At 46.8% G+C, this 17,118-nt stretch overlaps 1 protein-coding gene across 2 annotated transcripts in view, besides 2 other annotated features; it reads left to right on the top strand.

The window, feature by feature from the left end:
• Positions 1-17,118, top strand: part of RIMS4 (regulating synaptic membrane exocytosis 4) — a 58,739-nt gene that overhangs the window by 21,634 nt on the left and 19,987 nt on the right. The gene's annotated exons all lie outside the window — the stretch shown is intronic.
• Positions 11,696-11,833: a silencer, noted in NCBI's record as "fragment chr20:43405721-43405858 (GRCh37/hg19 assembly coordinates)". NCBI's record gives its function as "represses an EF-1alpha promoter that drives an FKBP-Casp9 reporter gene in an ReSE screen in phorbol 12-myristate 13-acetate-treated (for megakaryocytic differentiation) K562 erythroleukemia cells {active_cell/tissue: K562(+PMA)}" and the evidence as "EXISTENCE:reporter gene assay evidence [ECO:0000049][PMID:32094911]".
• Positions 15,777-16,277: an enhancer, noted in NCBI's record as "H3K27ac hESC enhancer chr20:43401277-43401777 (GRCh37/hg19 assembly coordinates)". NCBI's record gives its function as "activates a minimal SCP1, AML or CMV promoter by ChIP-STARR-seq in primed H9 embryonic stem cells {active_cell/tissue: H9 hESC(primed)}" and the evidence as "EXISTENCE:reporter gene assay evidence [ECO:0000049][PMID:30033119]".

Genomic DNA, 17,118 nt, shown 5'->3' with positions numbered 1-17,118 from the left:
ATTGAGTGCTTAATACATGCCCAGCCCTGCTCCAGTTGATGGAGTACATTGTGAAAAAGTTATTACTAAATGGCAGTCACTGTTATCAGCATCATCAGTATCATTTTTTTTAAGTGGGTAGTAAAATCACCCACTTAAAAAATTATTTTTAGAGACAGGGTCTTTCTCTGTCACCCAGATTTTAGTGCAGTGGTGTGATCATAGCTCACTGCAGCCTTGAATTCCTGGGCTCAAACCTCAGCCTCCCAAGTAGCTTGTACAGCAGGCACAAGCCGCCTTGACTGGCTAGTTTTCAAAATTTTTTGAGAGACAGGGTCTCGCTATGTTGCCCAGGCTGGTCTCGAACTCCTGGGCTGAAATGACCCTCCTGCTTTGGCCTTCTAAACTGCTGGGATTATAAGTATGGACCACTGCACCCACCTCCTGTCTCCTCTTCATGGTCAACTTCATTTATCAAGCAAATCTAATTTCTAGTAGCCCCTGACAGTGGAAAAACTAAAATTGGCAGTCAAGAGACCAAGTTCTAGCCCAGCGCTGCCCAATAGACATTTCTGCAATGATGAAAATGTTCTGTGCCTGCACTGTGCGATACTGTAGCCACTAGTCACAGGTGGCTACTCAGCACTTGAAATGTGATCCCTGCAACTGAGGACTGAATTCTTAATTTTTTTTTAAAGTTTAAGTGTTCACATGTGGCTAATGGCTACTCCAGATGTGCTGAGCTGTGAGACCTTGAGCAAGTTTCTTCCCCTGTCTGGGAAGATGAAGAAATGCCATTGGAGAAGCCAGAAGAGAATGTCTGGAATAGAGACTGAGGTCTGGAGCCAGCTAGATCTGTGGTTAATTTCAATTCTGCCAGATACCACCTCTGTGAGCCTGGGCAAGTTACTTAAACTTTGTGTGTCTCAGTTTCCTAGTTTGTAAAGGGATCCTAATTATAATCACCTCACAGGACTAAAATGAGGTTTAAATGAGATACGATTCTACAAGTGCCTTATTCCTGATAGGCTCTTGACAAATTGTATGGAAGTGGTTTTAGCTGGTATTGCAGACACTTGTGTTCCCCTATTGCATCTTTGGAAAACTCTGAAAATTCTTGTTTTTGTTATAAATGCTTATAAAATGCTTACTTTTAGGGCTGGAGTTTATAACCTTGAACCTCTTGAAATTACGTTCAAGTTGTATCATTGTGCATCTCTATTTTTTTTTTTTTTTCCTGGAGAAAACCAAAACTTTTCTCTGGGGAAAAGCAGCTCCCAGCAGATTTTCAAAGGAGTCCAAAAGATTTAGGAACTCTGGGAGGGGAGGAAACTGGTGTTCATGGTGCATGTGGAACAGGACAGGGTGTGATCAGCAAGCCAGTGGACTTTGGCTCCAGGCGGCCGGTGTTCCCGTCCCAGCCCTGCCACCTCCAGGCTGCGTAAATTTTGTTGAACCTCAGCTTCCCTATCTATAAAATGGGTATAATATAAGACATATTTCACAGATTGTTGTGGGGATTAGATAAACAAATCCATGTTAATTGAGTAGCATAGCACCTGTCACCCGTGCCCAATGAATGCTAGCTGCTTTTATCATCACATCGTCATTGTCATTATCATCATCGCCACCATCTCTTCCATCAATTGTATGCCAGCTTGGTGTGAGGTGTGTCAGTTTTTCAGTCTGCCCTCTCCTCCTGCCCCATCATCTCAAACCTCATCTCACACCACTCCCCCTTGCTCTGTCTGCTCCAGCCACTCTCGTCTCCTTCGAACATACCAGACATGTCTGCCACGGGCCTTTACGTTTCTGTTCCCTGTGTTGGGAATGCTTTCTCTGATCACTCTGTTTCAGAGAGAAACTCCTATCCCTGCCCTTATTGCCTTCTAGCATCCTCTCTATCTTTCTGTATTTGTCTGGCTTGATGTTTGCTTGCCTCTCCTAGCATGGAGATTCAGGAGGACAGTTCGTTTTTCCTTGTCTTGTTTCCTGCTCTAGGTCCAGTGCCTAGAACCGTGTTGGACATGTAGAAAGTGCTCAAAAAAAATACTTTGTGAGTGAATGAGTGAATGAATGAATGAATCTCATCTAGTCTGAGACAGGCTCCTGTAGGGCTCTCAAACTTCACATGATGTCTCTTGTGTAATATTTTCAATCAACAAATAATCTCTGAACCCTCCTTTCTGCCAGCTTAGGCCTTAGGTTCCAGGGATAGAAAGATGAGTGAGAGAATTCCAGTTCTTGAGGAGTGTACAGGCACATGGGGTGACCATGGTACAGTTCTCTTCTAAGCACTTAGACTATAGTTGTAACTACAGAATTATGCTGCCATCCTGTTTGCTGTCTGTCTTCCACCCTAGACTAGAAGAGCTCAGTGGGTGAGGACCCCCATCTGTCTTGTTCAATGCTGCGTCCTCGGCACTAGTATGAAGGCTGGCACATATATGTAAATGGGGTGCATGAATGAACAAATACAGGGTGCAGCAGGATAGGGACTAGCAGAGAGGTCTGTGGGTGTACCAAGGAGGGGTGACTGGCCCTGCCTGGGGAAGGATGGGATGGGGCTGTGAGAGATTCACACGGGAGGTGAGGAACCTTCTGTCCCTTGCCTCGACTCTCACTTGGCCAACCATGGAGCAGTTTGGGAATGATGGTGGGGGTGTGGTTCCCCTCCCTCAGAGGCTGGGTGGCCCTTCCATATTTCAGCTTCTGCCTGAGCTGCTGTCCTTGGAGTTAAAAATAGGGAAGGATGGGAGCACAAGGACATGCTGTCCTCTGCCACTGAGCAGGGATTCTGCTACCTCTTCTCAAAGGGGGCTGTAGGGCAGCAGGTTTGAGAAGCCAGAAGCTTAAAGAATTATCCCTTCCTGCCCCCTTGAGGACAGGCACAGACTTCTCTTTGCCCAGTGTGGCATGACTCTGAATGAGCTGTGTGGAATGTCACAGCTGGAAGGGCTCTCTGGGGTAGGCGGACATCTGGCAGGAAGCCCATCACCCTCCAGGCCTGGGATCTTGGCAGACAACACCAATCAATCAAGGCCCCCTTTCCTGGGACCATGGCAGGCATCACCAATCAATCATGGCATCCTTTTCTGCCAAGTCCAGGCACAGTCTAAGAATTCTTAGCACAGGGTATTTCAGGCAACAGCTACCAGAGTTGGCAAAAAAAAAAAAAAAAAAGAAAACCTATGTATCATCCCCAATCTAGTCCACTTCTCTCATGGTGGGAAAACTGAAGCTCAAGAGAGGAGCAGAAAGTTGTCTGATGTCACACCGGAAGTCAGTAGTGGAGCTGGGACAAGACCCAGGAGTTCTCACTCCCTGCCAAGGCTTTTTCTTTTTCTATCCCCTGTTGCATCCTCTTTTCTGCAGGAACTAAGATTTGCAGGTTTGTGTATGCGAAAGAATGGCTTTTAGGCTAGGCATGGTAGGTAGTTCATGCTTGTAATCCAAGCTCTTTGGAAGGCCAAGGCAGGAGGATCCCTTGAGCCCAGGAGTTGGAGACCAGCTTGGGCAACATGGCGAGACCCTGTCTCTACAAAAAATAAAGTAATTATCCAGGCTTGGTGGTGTGTAGTACCGGCTGAGATGGGAGGATCACTTGAGCCTGGGAAGTCAAGGCTGCAGTGAGCTGTGATTGTGCCACTGCACTCCAGCCTGGGTGACAGCCTATCTCTTATAAAAGAAAAAAAAAAAAAAAGAAGAAGAATGGCTTTTAATCCAGGGATTGCAGGCTCCCAAACTTTATGCAACATACTGTGTGTATGTGCTGGCAGGTCCTTTTCTAAGAGAGAGTAGCTTTTATCCACTCCCAAGAGGCTCCTTGAACAATGAAGAAGGCAGAGAAATCAGAAAAGAGTGAATGGAATGGGCTAGAATCTTGCTACTCAATGTGTGGGCCACAGACCAGCAGCATTGACCTCACCTAGGAGTTGTGAGAAGTGCTGAATCTCAGGCCCCACCTGAGACCTGCTGAATTAGAATCTGCATTTTAACAAGATTCCTGTGTGATCCATTTGCACATTAAAGTTGAGAAGCCATGAGCTGGAATTCCTTCAGCCTTTGGTGTCTGTGTGGAGGACCTGCTGAGTGCCAGCCAGTGTCCCTGCCCTCATTTGAGAGAGAGAAAAGCAACCAAGGGAGGTGCCTTAGCCAAGGTGGGGCCCAGCTTCTCTGCAACTCTGCTAAGGCCAAATCAAGGAAGAGATTTGTTTAAACTGCTTCAAGATAAAGGATAGCGCTGCTCATCCAAGGAGTAGGAGACCCAGCGTGCGTTAAGCATGTATGTGGGAGGTTCTTGAGAAGCCTTAGTGGACACTGGGTTAGCTGCTATCCTGCAGAACAGTCTGGAGAGAGACGGATTTTAAGCAGTTTTGGGACGTGGATGAGCCAAGCTGGAGCAACAGGGGATGTGCTGCCTAAGGCCAACATCACTACAGCCTCAGTGCTGAGAACAGCTAGTCCAAGGTGGGTTTGCTCTGGTGAGTGCTGGTGCCAGGTGGTTTCAGGTGGTCTTAACTAAGCCTTGCTAGCTCTAGTCTTGGAGGCTCTGGAGGAAGCTGGCCATCTGTTGATTGAGGAAGGTGGTGATGGGGAGCCTGAGGCTTGCCCTGGTGGGACTGGAAGGAAGGAATTCCCTCATTTCCAACCCCACCCCATCCCCTACATCTCTGCTTCCCATGTACCCACTGCACGTTTTCATCCGTGGGCCTTTGTGGGGATACATGTGCACATGTGTTATCTGAAGATGACATCCGAGGGGACAGACTGTACAAGTTGGCCTTGTCTGGCCTTTGCAGCAGGTTTTCCACACTGCTTCTGGCTTAGGGGGAGCCTCCCTGCCTGTGGGCTCCTTGACCCTCTTGGGGTCAGTGTAGAATAGGGTTAACAGCCTGGCCTGGGAGATGAGATGAAGTGGAAGGAGATTTATATAAGCTTTATTGAGATATAATTCATATACCATACAGTTTACTAGTTTAAAGTGAACAATTCAGTGGGTTTTAATATTTAATTTATTCACAGAGTTGTGCAACCATCACCACAGTCAATTGTAGAATATTATCGTCAACCCTATACCCGTGAGCATTCACATCCCATTTGCCCCTCCCTCTGGTCCTTGGCAACCACTAGTCTGCTTTCTAGTTCTATGGATTTACCTATCTTGGACATTTCAAATACGTAGAGTCATAGAAGAGATGATCTTTTATGACCAGCTTCTTTCACTTGCATAATGTCAAGGTTCATATATGTTGAAGCATGTATAGGTAATGCTTTGTTGTTTTTTTTTTGTTTTTGTTTTTGTTTTTTTTGAGACAGGGTCTCCCTGTCAACCAGGCTGGAGTGCAGTGGTGCCATCTCAGCTCACTGCAACCTCAGCCTCCTGGGTTCAAGTGATTCTCCTGCCTCAGCCTCCTGAGTAGCTAGGATTACAGACACACACCACCACAGCCCAGCTAATTTTTGTATTTTTAGTAGAGACAGTGTTTCACCATATTGGTCAGGGTGATCTCAAACTCCCGACCTCAGGTGATCCACCCACCTTGGCCTCCCAAAGTGCTGGGATTATAGGCGTGAGCCACCATGCCCGGCCCAGTACTGCATGCTTTTTATGGCTGAATAATACTTAATTGCATGGATATACCACAGTTTGTTCATTCGTCCATGGATGGCCATTCAGGCTGTGTCCACTTTTTGACTGTTACAGTTAATGCTACTGTGAACATTTGTGTGCAGCTTTGTTTGAATGGAGCGGATTTGTTTTGCATTCTTCCTCTCCAACCTTTACTTGCTGTGGGACCTTGGGCAAACTGCTTCAGTTCTCAGAGCCTCAGTTTTCTGAGAGTTTCTGAGAATCAGGGACACTACTCTCTATCTCAGAGTATTGTTTATAATAGTAGCTGCAATTTACTGAGTGCCTGTATCTTACTGTGACAGTCGTTGTGCACATGTTATGTCATTGAGTTCAGTCCCACAAGGGGTATGAGAGATCTATTTCACAGTTAACATGGATCTGTGCTATCATGGGCTAATATGCTACCTTGTTGGAACAAACCATTTGGTGTCTTGAGGAGTTCTCTTTCCAGTGTTTGTGGAGAGGAGGGAGCTTCCTTGCCTCCCCTACATGTTTGGCAGCATCTGTCTGTTAGAGGCCATATTTCTTTCCCTTCCTTTTCTTTTAAAAGTTTTGAAATACACATAGAGAAAAGTGCAGCAGCTGGAAGAATTCCCTCATGGTTCCATCATTCCTCTGCCATGAGACCAGCTTGTCCCAGATAGGGCCTGCCCCTTCACCCTGGGTCCCAGATGAGTTCGTGGGATAGAACCATAGCTAACTCGTAAAGTATGTTAAGTATGGCTGGGCATGGTGGTTCATGCCTGTAATCCCAGCACTTTTGGGAGGCTGAGGCAGGCAGATCATTTGAGGTTAGGAGTTTGAGACCAAACTGGCCAACATGGTGAAACCCCATCTCTACTAAAAATACAAAAAGGAAAAAAAAAATTAGCCAGGCATGGTGGTGCATGCATGTAACCCCAGCTACTTGGGAGGCTAAGGCAGGAGAATCACTTGAACCTGGGAGACGGGTTGCAGTGAGCCAAGGTTGTGCCACTGCACTCCAGTATAGGCCACAGAGCAAAAGTCCATCTCAGAAAAATAAGGTATGTTAAGTATGAACAAGAACTTTGTTCTGTAAGCCACTGAAATTTGGGGGTAACTTGTTATTGCAGCATAACCTAATAAGAGCTTACTAGTACATTTAATCCTTACAACAATAGGTGGAGTGGATTCTATCATTTTTCCTGTTTTGCAGGGGAACTTAGACTCAGATTAGTTCAGTAAGTTTATTTAGTTTACTCAGAAAGTGGCAGAGGCATGCTTCAAGTCCCAAACTCAGTTTTTCTGGCTCCAGAGCCTGTTCTCCTAAGAAGACGGAAGTACGTGGGCTGTATTTGGTGAATGATGAGTAATTCCGTGTGGATAGAACACCTGGTATGTGCATCATGGCAGACTTGTAGTATAGGTTTGGGGCAAATCCTGGAAGTCTTGAATGCTGTGTGGATTGTGTAGCTTCCCAGTGCCATATGGGGCCATAGACTCTACCTTTTGCCCACAACCCAGTTCCTTCCAAGGCTTGTTTAGCTTGTCCCAAATGCTGATGGAAATAGCTTCCTGAGGAAAAACAGCTTTTTGTGGGACTGTGAATTGTCTTCCTTCCAATGATTGTGGAAATGCCTCTTCTTTAGAAAGTCTTTCCACATTGGCTCGAGGAGAGTAAATGACTTTCCCCTGACCACCCCTGCTCAGCATAGGACCTCCCCAACCCCAAATGCATTTACTCTGCATCTGGAACTTTTTGCCTTCAGTTTTCATTTGGTTCCACATTTTCCTCTTCACTCTATCTCCATGTTTTTATTTGTCAGTATAACCTTCAGTTGTACTGGAAGGTAGTGCTTGCATGTACAATGAAATCTTCTGATTTTATTTGCAATCAAGTATAATTCAGCATTGAATCAATTCTGCTTACAACCCAGACCGTGCCTCTAACTCCAGTGCTGCATTAATTACCCTTCTCCTCAGCTCCCATAATACTCTGTGTATATCTCTGCCCTTACATTATGCTACGTTGTAATTATTGCACAATTGCCCCTTTACTTGCCTATCTATTCTGGTAGACTGGGAGTTTCAGCAAGGTCTGGGTTTAATTCATCTATGTTATGAGTCTACCGCACAGGATCTGGCCCTGAATAGGCAATTAGTAAAGAGTGTGTTGAATGAATAATAATTACTTATCTGTTTCATGTCCCCCCCACACTCTACTACCTGTAAGTTTCTTAAGGTCAAAGACTGTATCTTATTCAAATCCCCAGAGACAAGAACAGCATGGCATAGGAAATGAACTCAATAAATGTATATTTTGTTGGATAAGTGAGAGTAACGTTTCCTTCCAGGGGCATAACCCTTTAGAGTTACAAAGCACATTCCATATTTATTACCCAGTTGATTCTCACAAAATCTTTCCCCTCCCTCTCTAGGGTTCTCAAATCCTTATCATGTGCCTTTTGCCCCTCTTGCTTTCACTCACTTCATCTCTGTGTCTTTATGATCTCTCCTCTTTCCTCTTCAAATCCTCTTGGAAAAAGGTCTGAGGCACTTATCCCTCCCTCCAGTGTAGAGCAGCGTAAAGGGCAAAAATTGCACTCTGGCCTGCGTTGAACCAGGATCACATCCCACATGCCAGCTTTGTAATTATGGGCAGGTTCATTAACCCCTGAGCTTCAGCTTTCCCTTCTGAAAATGAAGACAATACTTACCTTCACTGGTGGTTGTGAAGATTACATGAAATGATGAGTGCTGAGCACCTCTCATAGGCTCTGGTTCAACTCGATAAATGGAAATTCCTGTCTTTATGTGGGAAGATGATTCTTTGAGGGTGGAATTTCAGGCACCAGCAAGCCAGTGGGAAGGAATTGTGGTTTGAAAACAACCACAGATAGGGATGCTTCGTAGTTCTAAAATCTCCCTTGTGAGCCCCACCTCTGCCCTAGGCAGGCCCAGTCCTCTGTGCTCAGTCAGCACCACGGACAGTTCCTGCACACGCCAGTTCTTTGCTGTGGACTTAATCGCATTTTAGAGGCCTTCAGTTGCAAGTCACAACTTTATATACCACCAAGGGAGCTAAAACATGTCAGAATTTAACTCTGACATGCCACTGGTTGCCATTCACATCTTAATTTTGGAGATGTTGAAAAAATGCTTGTCTTAGAATCGATGAAATAATGAGTTTACTAGAGGTGGTATCAGTGAGCAGTTGACCATTGACCTTTAGAGAGGTTAATAGTAATAGCCAGTATTTATTGAATGTCAACTGTATTACAGGCCTTTTCCCCTCCTTCCTGTCCTGTTCTGGGTGCTGTTTGCCCTGTATACACATTCTCTTAACAAAGATTACATTTGGGGAATATAAATGTGAGCCAGATATACAGTAAATCAACAGGCTTTCCACCATCTTTTTCCTCAAAATCTTCCAATCTTTAGCCTCACTTCTTCAGAACATTGCTTCCTGCTGAATGATAGTCTAACGTGTTAACCTTTCCAGTTCACACCGTGGTTAATCCACCTAAAAGGCATTTCAAATGCATACCCTGTAACCCAGCAGCTGCACTCCTAGGTATGTGCCCTGAAGAACTGCACAGAAATGGTCACCAAAAGACACATACAAGAATGTTTTTGGCAGAGCTATTTGTAATATCTCATTACTGGAGGCTACCCACCCAGATGCTCATCAGCAATAGAATAGATGAAAATTATTTTGATATATTCACACAATGTACTACAATAAGTCATGAGAATGAATGAACTGCAATGAAACAATCAACATGGATGAACCCCACAAACGTCGTGTTGGGTAAAAGAAGCCAGATGCTAAAGAATATACACTAGGTGATTTTATGTAGTGAAAACTACAAAATAAGCAAAACCAGTCTGTGCTGTTAGAAGTTAGGGTAATGCTACTTTTGGTGGAAAGTAACTGGAAGTGGCATGTGGGCCTTCTGTAGGGCACTGGTAATGTTCTGCTTCTTGATCTGGGTGCTGGTTCCGTAGAACTTTGTAATAGTCATCAAGGTATACACTTACAACTGTGCGATATATAATTGTACAGTTTTCTTTATGTATATTATCCTGCAACAAACAGTTGTCTTAAAAAGCACCTTTCTCCAGAAGATAAGAGAATGCTAAGACTTTTGTATGCAGGATGATGGGTAAGAAATTTGAGGGGCAGCTGGTCACATGGAAGATTTGGAATAATTCATTGTGAATAGAATGTAGAGAACACTAGGGAAATGGAAATGTAAATTGGGACCAGGTCAGAAAGACAGTGTGTGTTAGATTGGAATTTATTCTGCAAGCAATGGGGTGCCATTGAAGGGTTTTAATCAAAGGGATGGTGTGTTCAGGATTGAGATTTGGGAAGCTCAGGCAGGCCACTGAGTAGAGAAGAAACTGGCAGAAGAGGACACTCTGGTGGTGTGGACACCAGTTAGCATAGAGGAGGAAACTGAGCCACAGAGAGGTTGAGTAACTTTCTCAAAATCACACAACTAATAGAGTGACTGGGGCCAGGTTTACAACCCAGGCATTCAGGCTCCATTGTCCATGCTTTTAACCATTAGGCCATGCTGCCTCCTGAAGATGCTCTAGAAATAGTGAAAGGCTGTTGACTGAAAAGGAGCAGGGAGGTTAGCAATTAGGAGACCAGAATTTATTTTTCCTGAAACAGGTTCTCTGTCACCCAGGCTGTAGTGCAGCAATGTGATCATAGCTCACTGCAGCCTCAAACTCCTGGGCTCCAGCAATCCTCCCACCACAGCCTCCTGAGTAGCTGGGACTACAGTGTGGGCTAGTAATTTTCAAATTTTTTATAGAGGCAGGGTCTCACTATGTTGCCCAGGCTGGTCTTGAACTCCTGGGCTCAAGCAGTCCTCCCATCTTGGCCTCCCAAAGTGTTGGGATTACAGCCATGAGCCACTGTACCCAGCCTGAATTCTAATACCAACATGGCCTTTAACTCCTGCCCCTCTTTGGGCTTCAGTTGCCCTCTGTACAATAAAGGCATTGATCTGGATGATCCCTAAGTTCCCTCCAGATGAAACCATCTCTTATTTTAAGGTAGGGCAGATTCCTATAGCTCCAGGGAGAAGGGAAAGGTTAGGGCCCTCACAGAAGTAATCAGGGTTGTGCTTCCTCCACCCATCCTTGGAGACACAGCCAGAGGCAACATCAGTGCTCTGGAGGCCTGAGTATCTGCAGATGGCTCTCAGCCCTTGATTTTCAGATGGACTTCAAGACCTGGACAAGGGAGGCATGTGAGGCCCAAGTCACTGGGAATAACTAGGCCAGGGAGAGGCTGACCATGGAGGAAGAAGAGGCAGCAGTCTCCAGGGTATTTATCTCAGAGATACAGGAAGAGTAGTGGCTGTGGGAAGGGGAAGCAGTGAGCCAGGGGCCTTGGTGCCTTTCGCATCCTGGTTTAAAATAACCCAGTCACCCAGAGCTCTTGTGTCTGGGGGAACTTCACAGGCTTCTCTATGGACTTGGAGTGGACACTCACACTGACCAGGATGTGGTTAGTGGTTTTAGAGCCTGGGGACCTGGAACAGGTCATGGAGCCTCTCTTGGCTTGAGGCTTTTCATCTGGAAGTCAAAGCTGATAATGCCCATCTTCAATAAAATGTCAAAGTGGGGACTGGTTGAGTTCTCTCCTTCTCCCTCCCCCCAACACATCCCTGAGGTCTCGTGGTTAAGAGTATATGATGATCTGTTTTCACACAGACCTGGTTTCAAGCCTAGCTCTGTCTTATCTGGTATAACCTTGGACAAGTTGCTGAACTGCTCTGAGCCTGTTTCCTTATTGTAAAATTAGGATAATAATACTTGTCTTTCAGTGTTATGGTGGGGTTAAATTATATATGTGTATATAATTTGTACATGGTACAGGGTAAATGCTAAAAACAATAGAATCTGTTTTCATAATTTATCATCGTTTTATTATCCTGTTCCTTATGAATACTTGCTTTTGGGAGAACGTACATTAAACACATTCATATTCAAGTATAAACAGCAGAGTGACATCTACTTGTTTTCTTTACCAGAGAGAATTTCCATTTTTCTTGGGGACACATCCTAAAGCCAATTCAATTTAACACACTTTCAGTGGGGATGGGCAGTGTGGGCGCTATCCCTGGTGCTGAATGGAAGTAAATGACGAATGAGCTCACGCTGTAAACACTGACATCGACTAGGTGGATGAGAACTGTGTTTCAAGGTGCCATGGAATAGTTACCCCAAGAGAAGTGAAGATTGAAGTGCCCCGGGACTCAAGGAGTCTGATGAGGGACGTCTTTGTGGAAGACATGGCATTTGAGTTCTGGGATGGAGCTTGGAGAGTTTACTTTAGGGTGCATTTAAAACATGGCTTTGGAGCCAGAATAGCCTGGGTTTGAAGTCCAGCTCCACCATTAGTAGTCGTGCATGTCCTTGGGAAAGTTACTTAACCTTCTCGATCCTCATTTTCTTTCTCTGTAAAGGGGGGCAGTAGCTATCTCATGGTTTATTGTGAGAATTAAGTGGGAGATACCTTTGTAAAACGCTTGGCATGGCATCTAGCACAATGGTAATAACCATATTAATAATAGTCAACTTTGTTGAGGGCTGACCGTGTGTCCCAGCCCACCTAGGCCATCCTGAGGGTTATATGTTATTACATTTTTACGTTGCTTGCTTGTTAACATTTAGTGCTCACATAGCCCTGAGATTCTGGTGCTTTTATCCCTATTATATGATGAAGAAACTGAAGTACAGAGTGCCTGATAAGTTATAGGTGTTATTTAAAGCTAAACTCTGGAGGATGGTTAGAAATTTGATAAGGAGGAAAGGAGAGGAGTGAGAACCAGGATGAGGAAGTTATTGAGGATGTACAGTATTTCTCAGGATGGAGCACTGAGGTGTCTGGCTGGGCTAGGATATAGAGACTGCGAGGGAGAGCAGTAGCTGATGGGGAGGGAGTCAGAAAATGGAGAGTCTTGGATGCCTGGGTGCAAAAACTGAACCTAATTCAGCAGGCAGTGAAGAAACATTCTGAGGTTTTTGTTTTTGTTTTTGTTTTTGTTTTGAGATAGGATTTTACTCTGTTACCCAGGCTGGAGTGCAACCAGCCTCAACCTCCCAAGCTCAAGCGATCCTCCTACCTCAGCCTCTCTAGTAGCTGAGACTACAGGTGCCCACCACCATGCCCGGCTAATTTTTGTATTTTTTCTTTGTAGAGGTGGGGTTTCGCTATGTTGCCCAGGCTGGTCTGAAACTCCTGGGCTCAAGTGATCCACCTGCCTGGGTCTTTCAAAGTGCTGGGATTACGGGCATGAGCCACCACGCCTGGCTAAGGTTTTAAATAAGATGGTGGCATGACTGAAGCTGTGATTTATTTATGAATTTGTTTGTATTTACTTTCATTTGCATTATAGAATTAATTAAAATTCAAATGACATAGAAGCATACAAAAGAGAAATAAATTTCCTTCCCAATGTGCTGGTTGGGTGTAAATGGGTACAACTACAGTTATGATGCGGGAGCCCACCTGTGTGAAGATTTTTGAACTTTTACTTGCTTAGGGTGCCAGCCTGTCTTAGGTCAGGTGTCCCCAAACCAGACCCTGAGATGAGATTCGTGTGGAGGCAGTAATGAAGGAAGTGCCCCCAGAACAGACCCAGGGAAGCAGAACAAGACAGGGCAGGAGACACGCAATGGTGTGCTCTCAGGCAGGTCCCGAAAGGGTGGCCCCAGCCCCGCTGTGGGGTTACTCTGGGGGCTGCGTGAAGCCTCAGAGTTGTTCTGACCCAGGGCAGAGGAGGTGAGGGTTCATCCTCCCATTTCATTTAGTCTTTGATGAAGGGGCAGGGCAAGGGCAGGTTAAGGGTCATACATTTCCAGACACTTCTAGCTCTGCCTGTGTGGGGGCAACATGGGCTCAGTAGCCCAAAGAAAGACACCCCCACACCCCACCCCAGAAAAAGGTGCCAGGTACTGGCTGTGGGAAGCCACAGCACATAGCATGCTACAGTGGGGAGGGGCTCACAGAAGTGGTAAAAAGGGGGTCTTGGAGGAGGATCACATTGTTCACTACAGTGGGTCAAGTGAGGGTCTATTTCTGGGTCCTGATGGACGACAAGCAGAGGCTGTTCATTTCTCCCTGGCTCCCGTCAGTGTGTTTTATCAGCAGGTGCAGCACTTAGAAGCGTGTTTAACATCTCAGGGGCTTCCACCTCACAAAAGGGTGTTCAATAGATGTCTGTTGAGAGAATGAAAGGGCCATGCTTCAGGGCCCGGGAGCTGGGTTGAGACCTGGTGGTGAGCAGTCACTAGAGAATGGTTTAGTAAGCCGCCCTGATGGATCGATGGGCTGGAGCCACACTGAGAGATCAGAGAGGGTGTGGTGGGTGACTTGGTGGCCAGAGGCTGTTCTCCGAGGAAGTTAGTTGGTGAAAGAGGTGGGAGAACTAGAAAGGGCCCGAGGATGGAGAGGCAGCAGACGCAAGGCCCAGAGAGGACAAATGGGGGAGGAGGTCATGGTGAGTGATGGAGATGGATCAGCCACAGCCAGGAGAAGGACGGCCCCTTCCTTTCAGAAAGGAGGGGAGGGCCAGGCAGGGTGAAAGGTCAGGATGGTGACTATTAGTCAGGGTTCTCTGGAAGGACAGAACTAATAGGATAGATGTATATATAAAGGAGAGTTTATTAAGGAGTGTTGATTCACACGATTACAAGGCAAGGTCCCACAATAGGCAGTCTGCAAGCTGAGGAGCAAGGAAGCCAGTCTGAGTCCCAAAGCTGAAGAACTTGGAGCCCAGTGTTTGAGAGCAGGAAGCATCCAGCATGGGAGGAAGATGCACGCTGGGAGGCTAAGCCAGTCTAGTCTTTCCACATTCTGCTTGCTTTTATTCTGGCCATGCTGGCAGCCGATTAGATGATGCCACCCAGATTGAGGGTGGGTCTGCCTTTCCCAGTCCACTGACTCAAATGTTAATCTCCTTTGGCAACACCCTCACAGAGACACCCAGGAATGATACTTTGCATCCTTCAATCCAATCGAGTTGACACTCGCTATTAACAATCACAGTGACATTTGGAAGTGAGGAAGAGCAGAACAAAGGGAACACATCTCAGCCACGTGGGATGGATGGATCTTGGTGGGGGTAGTTGGGAAAGCACTGGAACAGTCACTTTGGGGGCCATGGCCCAGTTAGCAAGAGAGGATGCACAGGAGGGGTAGGTGGTAGAGGTTGGATGGTGGACATTGCTGTGGTTGGGTCCAGTCGTGGTCCCTAGCTTGGGGAAGGTGGTGTGTCAAGGGAAAAAAATGAGTCTACAAGGGTGTCAGCAAGACAGTTGGCAAGGGCAGGTGTGGGGGCATTGGAAGGTCTTTCTCCCTCTGCAGTGGTTTGGCTTTTTATGTTTGGCACCTACTTTGTGCCCGCACTATGGGAAACGTCTGTCATTTAAGCCTCTCAACAGCTCCGTGGGAAGATGCCGTCCAGCTTGCCCCGGGTCTCCATACCTGGGCCTTCTGACTGCAAAGGCATGCTCACCTGTGTGGGGAGCCAGGGCTGCTGGGAGGCAGATCCTAGGGCCTGGTTGGGAACTGCTTTGAGGGCTGTAGGATGCCACACAGATGCAAGGCACAGCTCTGGGGGACTGAGTTGTTTGTCATGCTCTGCTCCTCCCTCTTCCGGGAGAAATGTGTCAGACCCAGGTAGGTGGAGATGGATCCGGGGTGGGGGCACCTGAACAGCGCTCAGCAGAGAGGGAGGGAGCCGAGGCAGGTGTGTGCTGCCTGCCTGCAGGGTGCCCAGTCATGGGTCTGTATCCCTAGTGTGGGGTGTGGGGGGGGTGTTTGTTCCTGCACGTCTGACAGGGACATATGTACAGTGCTGTGTGTGTGTGTGTACAGGGACATCTCTGTCTGAGTCTGTTTCTGAATGTGCATGTGAGTGGTTCTTTCTTTCTCTGTGTCACTGTACCTGCTGTACACAGAGAAATAACAGAAACAGTGGAGATAGAGGGTCGGGGGAGGCTGCAGATGCAAGCTAGGGAAAGAACAGATGATGGAATGGAGTAGAAACACAGATATAGGGGCACACACGCTCTCCCACGTGTTCAGAAACACGCAGGGAAGATGTGTATACACCTACCCACTTAGCCTCAAACACACAGAGCGACAGGCATGTGGAGACCCCTGGGAGCACACTCAGACCTGCATTAACACACTGTCTTTGCATGCATCTTACTGTGTGTGTGTGTTGCTGTGTTTTTCTGAGTGTGGGTGTCTGTGTGTCTGAATAACAAAGACACGTGGGAGACAGAAATACGAGGCTACACGTTCTGAGAAACAGAGTGTTTGTATCTACGCATGCATGTGTGTGTGTACACGTGTGTGTGATTCTTAGAGGCAGGGAGGAAGGAGAGACCATCCTGGAGCTGGGAGGAGGAGGGAGGCCAGGAGAAGGCCGGCGGGAGCTGTCCTGGCTTGCCCTGCTCCTGTACGCAGGCCCAGCTCTCTTGTCCTCTGGCAGGAGGAGGATGACTGGGTGTGATTGGGGCTGCTTTTCCCCAGTGGGTCAATCAGCAAGCATTGAAGGATCCTCTTGGGAATCAGCCCATGTCTGGACTTTGTGGGACCATGAAAAAGATCCCACTAATGATCTACCCCACCTCTAGCAAGCCTACAGTCCCTTGAATCACTAGGCCATGGAGCAGGGAGCAGACACCCTCCCGGGGCTGTGTCCTGGCTCCCCACCTTACTAGCTCTATGGGCGTGGACAAGTCCTGACCTCTCCGTGCCTCCTGTTTTGGGTACTGGATGGGGGTGAACAGCAGCATCCACCTTACGGTTGGTTGTGAGGATTAAGGCTGCTCTCAAGGCAGCCACAGTTATTAGTTGAGCTCTACAATGGTCTAGACCCTGTTCTTGGTGCTGAGGCTTCAAGAGTGAACAAAATTCCCTGTCCTCATGGAGTTTATGGTCTTCGCAGAGGAAGCTGGCCAAAACACCAATATTGTTTAACGCATTTGGGTGGTAAGTGTTAGGAGGAAAACCAAAGCAGGAGTCAGGGCAGAGAGGGGCAGGGGGTGGGAGAAGGCTGCTGTTTTGGAGGGGCCAGGAGAGGTCAAGAAAGATCTTGGATAAGATGATGTTTGACCACAGAATGGAAGGAGTGGGCGGCTGATGGGGGCCATTTAGCCTCATAAGAGCCTGTTATTCTCCCACTTGACAGTTGTGCAAATAGAGGCACACAGAGGCTGAGTAATTTGCCTTAAGTCTCCCAGCCACTGAGATAGATATCCAGGATTTGAACCCATGCCATCTGGTTTCAGTGCGAGTAGTCCTCAATCAAGGGTGATTTTTGCTGCCTAGGGGCTATTTGGCAATGTCTGGAGATATTTTTTATTGCTGCAACTGGACTGCAGCGGGGTGGGGTGAGGGTTGCTATTAGTATCTAGTGGGCAAAGGCCAGGGATACTGTTAGACATTCTGTGATGCCCAGGGCAGCCCCTACTGCAAAGCAATATGCCATCCACACAGCCAG

This window comes from Homo sapiens, chromosome 20 (genome assembly GCF_000001405.40).
Source record: "Homo sapiens chromosome 20, GRCh38.p14 Primary Assembly".
NCBI classification, from domain to species: domain Eukaryota; kingdom Metazoa; phylum Chordata; class Mammalia; order Primates; family Hominidae; genus Homo; species Homo sapiens.
The sequence above is the reverse complement of the archived record's forward strand: the minus strand, read 5'-3'. Positions and strand labels throughout refer to the sequence as shown.